A 9,273-nucleotide genomic window follows, 5' to 3' on the forward strand; every position below is an offset into this window, starting at 1 on the left:
AAAATAAGAGAAACCACTTAGACACTGAAAGTTGGAGTCACTTAGTTCCTACTTTCCAGTTCTAATCTCTGAGACCTGTACTTTGAAGTTCAGGAGATGAGTTTTCATATACATCAAATCTTTCTTTTTCTGAGAAAGATTTCAGTGGATTTCCATTTATATCAACCAACATAATCAACTAGAATATTCTGTAATATATTTTTCTAATTTTATAAATTAAATTATTTTAGTTAATAAATCACAATACCATTTCAACTAAATCTGAACATGAAAATTACAAAAATTTTGGACACACAATAAAAAAGTTTAGTTCTTTTCAGGTTAACAATTGAGCCCATTGTTTTATATTTTAAAAGTTCCCCCACTGAAAAAGTGTCTGGAGGTTAAAAGAAAAATATTGACTTTATTATTTGAATGTGTAACTAAGATAATGTTTAAAAATAAGCTTATCATATTGTCTTTGTAAGCTCCTGCAGCTATAACAAAGTAACTATAGACTAGGTGGCTTATGAACAACAGAAATTTATTTCTTACATTCTGGAGGCTGGAAGTTGGAAATCAGGGCACCAGCATGGTCATGATCTAGTAAGGACCTTCTTCCAAGATGCCAACTGGTGCATTCTTGTTGTGCCCTCACAAGGCCAAAAACAACAACAACAACAACAACAAAAAAAAAACCAAAAGAACAAAAAAAAGAGCTAGAGAGAACTCTGGGCCCTGTTGTATGAGAACACTAATCCCATTCATGAGAGCTCCACACTCATGATCTAATTACCTCCCAAATGCCCTACCTCCTAATACCATCACAACAGTAGTTAGGATTTCAACCAGTGAATTTGGCAGAAACCTATTTAGTCCATTGTGGGTTATTCTTGACTTTACAAAAACTCAGCCATTTTGTTCATTTATGAGTTGACTAATGATAGTGACAGGACACAGACAAATTCCTAGGCAGACAGGGACAGGTCCAGAAACTTGACCTTTAGGCCAAAGACGAAAGCCTGAAAGCCAATCTGCTAGTTTCAGATAAAGTCCATGACCAGAGTGAGAACTTTTATACTTGTCTTAATCACTCTCTCTCAGATGGTTCCTTCTGAATGATGTCTTTTAACCAGTTAAATGTTGCCTTATCCAAGCCCACCCATGGACCAATCAGCACACATTCCCCCATCCCAAGCCCATCAAAATCCTGCACTCAGCCTCACAGACGACAACCCACTTTTGGGCCCCCTCTTGCTGCTGAGAGCTTTCTTTCTGTCACTCAATAAAATTCTACTTTGCCTTACTCACTCTCTGGTGTCCACCTACCTTATTCCTCTTGGTTGCAGGACAAGAACCTGGAACTTGCCAAACTACAGGAGTAAAAGAGCTGTAATGCTCTCACTCATTGAACTGCAGGCGGTGGGAGTAAAAGAGCTGTAACACTCTTTTCCACTCACCAAGCTACAGGAGTGAAGAAACTGCTGGGCACCAGTCCCTCCCACTTGCCAAATTACGGAAACGAAAAAGCCTCAACACTAACGTTCTATGCTTAGCAGACTATGGATACTTTGTGGAAAACAGATCACATCAAAATGAAGACATTTTATTGAATTTAGCATTTAGATTTTAAAGAAAACCTAAGACTATAATCTACCTTGCAATTCCTTTAATTATTGACTCTATCACGAATAATATGACTTAATTTGAGTGTGCATTTTAAACTTCCTCTGAATTTCTTAGCAAAGAATTTTAGTGCAAAATGCACACTAAAAGTCAACTGTTGTGTGAAACAACAAAGACAACCAACAACATAAATAAAATACTTCCATATCCATAATTAATAATAAATGAGACCAAAAAATTCCAGGCAAATTGTGAAGACACTGCTGCTTGTGAAAGCCTTACTCCATTAATGTTCCTCTCTTTTTCTGTCTCCATCTTTTGTGTATGTGAAGAAAGAATCTAAAAGAATCTGGTAGAAGGAAAATTTGCACGAATATTCAACTTCTCATCTTTCTTTGAGAAGATTTGTATTTAAACCTTTTCATCTAGATTTGAGTAAAGAACAATGCTGCATTGCTAAGTGGGAAGGGCATGATTAGTTAGTGCCGTTCCAAGTCAAGAAAGATATTCTCCACTGTCATCTACAAAGTTAAGCCAACCTCAGTCCTCCACCCACATCCACATTAATCCCTCTTTTTCGTTTTGTGTACTCATCCTCTGGTTTCTAAGTATTTTACTACTAATTGTCTCTATTCTTCTCTCTGGATTACCCATTAACTACTAACCTGCTGTGCCTGCAAGTGCAATAAGCAGGAAGTACCTGAGGTTGGGACTTTGCCAAACCACAAATTTGCTCAGCTATTTCTCATTTTCTGTCCTATTTCCTTCACCTCCTTATCAGTTTTGCCTCCAGCAGTTTCTTAAGAAGTCCTTTAAAGGCAAATTCTTATTTGGGACATGATTGTGGAGAACTCAACCTAAGAGGCTTCTTCATTTCGCAAGCAATCATGGGCACACGCATGCATGCATGCACACACATAGCAATACAATGTGATATAGTTTGAATATGTGCCCCTGACAAATCTCATGTTGCATTGTAATTTCTAATGTTAGAGGTGGGGCCTGGAGGGAGGTGTTTGGGTCATGAGGGCAGATTTCCCACGGCTTGGTGCTGTCCTCGTGATAGTGAGTTCTTTCAAGATCCGGTTGTTTAGAAGAGTGTGACATCTTCCCCTCCCTTGATTCCACTCTCTATGTGTGAGATGCCAGCTCCTCCTTCACCTTTTGCCATGATTGTAAGCAGTCGAAGCCCTCACCAGAAGCTGAGTACATGCCGGAGCTATGCTACCTGTGTAGCCTTCAGAACTGTGATGCAATTAAACCATTTTTTTAAAATAAATTACCCAGCTTTAGGTATTTCTTCAAAGCAATGCATAGCAGAGTCTAATACACAATTCTAAGAGTAAATGTACAGCAATATACTTATGACAAAGCCATTTTCTGAAAATTTGTATTGATTTATTTTAGCAATAATTCTTTCTAGGTGAAGCAATATTTCCAAGGCACTTTTACTAGTATTATTTCATTTGATTTAAGAAAAAGGAAAGAAAATATGTTAATTTAAGGATTAGAAACCTCAGGTATTAGCTGGTTGTAGGACAAGTTCATTTGACTCTACATTTTACAGCCTGAGACTAGGCATTATTAATTGAAAATTCAGTAAGTATAGTTATGACTGGTAAGTAGAAAAGTGAATGTGTCTTTCCTTATTGACAATGGAGCTAGTGCAAAATTTAGTAAATGATAAGCACTGTATAGATGGAATAATTAGAAGAGAGAGTCAGATTTTGTTTGTTTGCTTTTTTGGTTTGGTTTGTTATTTGTAAGACATCTTTTTAAATACATGTGGTTATGGATCAAATTCTGTCCCCTCAACATTCATATGCTGAAGACCTAAGCCCCAATACAACTGTATTTGGAGACGGAACTAATAAACAGATAATTCTTAAGTTGGTGCAAACATAACTGTGGTTTTGTCATTACTTTTAATGGCCAAAACCACAGTTATTTTGCAACAACCTAATAGGTTTAAGTGGTGTCATAAGGGTGAAATTCTAAATTAATATCACTGATACCACTTTAAGACGATCAAGAAACACCAGGGCTGCTCTCACACAGAGGAAAGGCACTGTAAGAACACAGCAAGCAGGCGGACATATGCAAGCCAAGGAAAGAGGTCCTAAGAGAAACCTAACCTGAAGACATTTGTGATCTTGGATACTCAGCATCCAGAACTGTGATAAAATAAATGTCTGTTGTATAAGCCACCTGATCTGTGGTATTTTGTTTTAACAGGTTTAGCAGACTAATATGCACTGAAGCACCTCAAAAAAGATTTGGTTCATAGAATATTGGATTTGGAACACTCTGCTAATTATTAAATCTTGCTGATTAATATAATATAATCAGATGAATAACAGGGAAGAGTTTATATAAGCTGATTTCATAGGTCTAGCGTGAGATCTAGGAATCTGTATGTTATCTATACAGCCAAGATGAATTAGTATCAGGAAGCACTGTATTAGCCTCTCTTTGCCACAGCCCTAGTCCTCTATTTCTTTCTTGCTTTCTGGACAAAGTGCAAGCTTCTGTTACTAAGTCATCACTTCCATTCTTTCCCTTTTAAACTTTATGGAAATGTATGCTTTAGACCAAGGTAGTTCAGTAGAAATATTAAACAAGGAACAGTTATAGTTTAGCACACTATAGTGGCCATATTTAAAAGAAGCACAAATAAACATGCAAAATTAATTGTATAATATATTTTAAGTAGCAAATAAATATAAGATTTTTCTTTTAATTTACTTATTTACCTATTTTTATTTTTTTAATCGACAAATATTATGCATATTTATGGGGTACAATGTGATGTTTGGATCTATGTATACACTGTAGAAAGATTCACTTAAGCTAACTAACATATCTGTCACTCCATCAAATTATTTTTATGTGGTGAGAAAGTAAAAAATATATTCTTTTTGCAATTTTGAAATATACAAACCATTATTATTAATGGTGGTCACCATGCAGTGCAGTAGATCAGTAGAACTTATTCCTCCAGTATAACTGAAACTTTGCACCCTCTGAACAATATATCCCCTTTCCCCATTTCTTCCCCTGCCCCACCCCAACCTCTGGTAACCATCTTTCTACTCTTTGGTTTTATGAGGTTGACTTTTTTTTAGATTCCACATGTAAGTAAAATCATATGGTAATTGTCTTTCTGTGCCTGGCATATTTCATTTAATTTAATGTCTTCCAGTTTTATCTATATTGTTCCGAATGACAGATTTTCTTATATTTTAAGACTATATAGAATTTTATCGTGTATATGTATATATATAATATATCATTTTTTTCATTCATTTATTCATTGCCAGACATGAATAAATGAAAGAAATGAAGGGCAGTCTGGTGGGTTCCATGTCTTCATGTTGTGAATAATGCTAAAATAAACATGAGAGTACACACACATATATATATATATATATTTATTTATTTATTTATTTATTTATTTATTTTTTGAGAAAAGGTCTCACTCACTCTTTTGCCCAGGCTGGAGAGCAGTGGCATGATCACAGCTCACAGCAAACTCAAACTCGTGGGCTCAAGTGATCTTCCTACAACAGCTTCTCAAGCATCTGGGACTCCAGTCACGCACCGCCACACTTGGCTAGAGAGTGCAGATTTCTCTTCAACATACTGACTTCAGTTCATTTGAATATATATCTAGAAGTGTAATTGCTGAATCATATAGTAATTCTATTTCTAGTTTTTTGAAGAACTTCTATGCTATTTCCCAAAATAAATTAATTTTCATTCCCACCAACTGTATACAAAAGTTCTCTTTCTCCACATCCTCACCAATGTGTCACTATTCCTTTTTTATCATAGCCATTCTAACAGGTATGAGGCAATATTTCATTTTGTTTTTAATTTATATTTGCTTTATGATTAGAAGTGTCGAGGATTTTTCAAGTATCCATTGGCTATTCACATCTCCTCTTCTGAGAAATGTCTGTTCAGATCCTTTGCCCATTTTTAATAGGGTTATTTGTTTTCTTTCTACTCAGTTGAAATTTCTTGTACATTTTGGATATTAGCTCATTAACAGAATCATCGTTTGTCAATATTTTCTCCCTATCTGTAGGTTGTCTCTTCAGTCTTTTGTTTCCTTTTCCGTGCAGAAGCTTTTTGGTTTGATGCACTCTTATTTGTTTATTTTTGCTTTTGTTGCCTCTACTTTTGGAGTTCTATTCAAGAAATCATCGCCCAGACCAATGTTGTGAACTTTTCCTCTATGTTTCCTACTACTAGCTTTATAGTTTCAAGTATTACATTTAAGTGTTTTCTTAGTCAATTTGTGTTGCTGTAAATGAAAGTGGGTAATTTATAAACAAAAGGTGTTTATTTGGCTCATAGTTCTGCAGGCTGTACAAGAAGAATGGCACCAGCATCTGCTCCTGGTGAGAATTTCAGGCTGCTTCCACTTGGCAGAAGGCAAAGGGGAGCCAAAGTATGCAGAGTTCTTATGGTAAAAGAGCTGGCAAGAGAGCAAGGGCAGAGCTGCGAGGCTTTTTTTAACAACTGGCTCTCACAGGAGCTAAAAGAGCAAGAACTCATTCATTATCAAGAGGACTGCACCAAGCCATTCATGAGGGATCCATCTCCATGATCCAAATACATTCCATTAGGTCCCACTTCCAAAATTGGGGATCAAATTTCTTTTTAAAAATAATTTGTGTTAGTGAAGGCAACATGCTATTAAAAAAAATAAAATGTACCATCTTTGCCATTTTTAAGTGTACAGTTCAGTGGTAATAAATAGGTCAAATTTCAATATGAGGTTTAAGGAGGATAAACATCCAAACTATCACAAGTATTTTATCCATTTTTATTTGATTTTTGTCTATGGCATAAGATAAAGGTCCCGGCTGGGCAAGGTGGCTCACGCCTGTAATCCCAGCACTTTGGGAGGCCAAGGTGGACAGATCCAGTGAGGTTAGGAGTTCAAGACCAGCCTGGCCAACATGGTGAAACCCTGTCTCCACTACACACACACACACACACACACACACACACACACACAGACAAATTAGGTGAGCATGGTTGCGGGTGCCTGTAATCCCAGCTACTCAGGAGGCTGAGGTAGGAGAATCTCTTGGATCTGGGAGGTGGAGGTTGCAATGAGCCAAGATCATACCATTGCACTGCAGCGTGGGTAACAAAGTGAGACTTTGTTTCAAAAAAAAAAAAAAAAGATAAAGGTCCAATTATTTTTCATGTGCATATCCAGTTTTCCCAACATCACTTATTGAAGAGACTGTCATTTTGCCAGTGAGAGTTTCTGACACCTTTGTTGAAAATCAATTGATAGAAGATAACTAGGTTTATTTCTGGGCTTTCTATTCCATTTCATTGGTTGAAATGTCTCTTGTTAATGCTAGTACCATGCTGTTTCTATTACATTAGCTTTATAATACATTTTGACATCAGGGAATGTGATACCTCCAGCTTTCTTCTTTTTGCTCAAGATTGCTTTCGCTACTTGGGGTCTTTTCTGGTTCCATACAAACTGTAGGATGGTTTTTTCTATTTCTGTGTAAAATTACATTGGATTTTGTTAGGGACCACAGTTAATATATAGATCATTTTGGCTTACATGAATATTCAGCAATATTAGTTATTTAATTAATTATTCAGGTCTCTGTCCTTCACATCAGCTTCTTCATGTGACATTGAAACTGGTTTCTCTCAGGGCAAGCAACTCAAGAAAATTTAAGAGTGCCAAAGACAGAATCCACAGTCTTTTGATAATCTAATCTTAAGAGTGACATTCATCATTTCTGCCTTATTTTATTTATTAGACAGAGGTATAGAATTCAGGGCTCTCAAGGGCATGAATACTAGGAGGCAAGGATCACAGGGCTGTGTTAGAAGCTACCTACCATAGTCATCCCTCTAACTCCTAATGACACATTCCTTCCACAAAGAAACTATACACTCCTCTACTTCAGGTCCCCCAAAACCTCTTCTCATTATACCATCATCTCAAAGCTCAGAATCTTTCCATTCATCAGATCCAAATGGGAATAATTTGCCTCTATTCTAGTTCCCGAATTATAACACGGTAAGTACAGATCCTTTTAGTCTGTACTTGTAAAACTAAGGAGTACATTACCTGCCTCTAGACATCAAAAATATAATGGTGAGACAGGCTGGCTTCCTGCATGTAGCATTACGGGGTCCAAAGGCCTCTCCTTATTCCACACTGACTGTTATTCTTCAGCCTGAACTGGGAATGTTCCTGAATATATAGCACTTTTAAGCACTGTTTCTTGATCATGAGCTTGGGATTCCACCCAATGTACAAAATCCCGCTTCCCCATCCTCCAAATCTCTTCAAGGTAAACCTTTCTCAACTTTCATGCTTTGAGAAGATCCTGAGGCACAAGACTCTACCTGTAATCATTTTGAGGTGTTTGAAAAAAAGGAGTTGCACTTACACACTTAGCTTGCTTGTTTTTCTTTCTTTCTTTCTTTCTTTCTTTCTTTCTTTCTTTCTTTCTTTCTTTCCTTCTTTCTTTCTGTCTTTCTTTTTTTTGAGACAGGGTCTCTTTCAGGCTAGAGAACTGTGGTGCAATCATAGCTCACAGCAGTCTCAACTTCTGGGCTGAAGAGATCCTCCCATCTTAGCCTCCCCAGTAGCTAGGGCTACAGGTGTGCATCACAATGTCTGGCTAATTTAAAAGAAAAAAGAATTTGTAGAGACAGTGTCTTGTTTTGTTGCCCAGGCTGGTCTGGTACTCCTGGCCTCAAGTGATCCTCCTGCTTCGGCCTCCCAAAGTGCTGAGATTACAGACATAAGTCGCCACACCTGGATATAGATTTCTTTTTAAACCACATTCTCCTGGCAGTATTCTGGATTTGATCTTTGTTCTAAAGCCATTACTTAATTTTAGCATAATTTGTTCTCTGAGGAGGATAGAATTCTCAAAACCATTAAGTTCTGGCTCCTTTTTGTTTAAGTTCCTTTCTTCATTTTATCTCCTTCCACACAGATATATCTGTATTTCACAACATTTGTTTTATCTTGAGTACATATTATGAAGCACAAAATATATAAAAAATGCTGAAATAAGTAGTTAGGTAAATCAAGGGTTTCTGAAAACATGGCCAATAACATCAACTTTGGGCTTTGATTAGTCATGCTCCTTTACTTGGAGCTAGCGAGTTACCTTCTTACCACTTCCTTCTCTCCCTTCCCCTGTCAGAGTAAATCAACCCTCTCCAATTTATAAGTCATAGTGGGATTCAAGGGTAAATATCATAAAACAGATTGTCAAGAATGCTGTTAATTTAGGCAAAATTATTTATTTCAACTTTTAAAAACCAGCTGGACTCATAAAGCACAAAATCAAATACAGATTTGTAGAACTGTTGAGCTATTAATATTGAGTGATTTTCCCTGAAGTCCAGCAGGAAAGGTAGTGTTAGGGTAGCCATGTTGGATTCAGGGCAGCTAGCCAGTCAGCTACCTGACAACAATCTATACATCACTTGGATAATTTACATATAGTATGCCAGTAAATTTAGGTTTTCATAAATTCTAATTACAGGAAAATTAAATAATGCTCCTTCAACCAAATAGACTATGTCTTATAGTGCAAATTAAACCAACATTTTCAGCAAGCGAAAGCCTATTTCTGCTAAGTAATTTTTCAAATT

At 36.6% G+C, this 9,273-nt stretch overlaps 1 annotated feature.

Moving 5' to 3' along the window:
* Positions 1,962-2,545: an enhancer, noted in NCBI's record as "NANOG hESC enhancer chr13:90032206-90032789 (GRCh37/hg19 assembly coordinates)". NCBI's record gives its function as "activates a minimal SCP1, AML or CMV promoter by ChIP-STARR-seq in naive H9 embryonic stem cells {active_cell/tissue: H9 hESC(naive)}" and the evidence as "EXISTENCE:reporter gene assay evidence [ECO:0000049][PMID:30033119]".

This window comes from Homo sapiens, chromosome 13, assembly GCF_000001405.40.
Source record: "Homo sapiens chromosome 13, GRCh38.p14 Primary Assembly".
NCBI classification, from domain to species: Eukaryota; Metazoa; Chordata; class Mammalia; order Primates; family Hominidae; genus Homo; species Homo sapiens.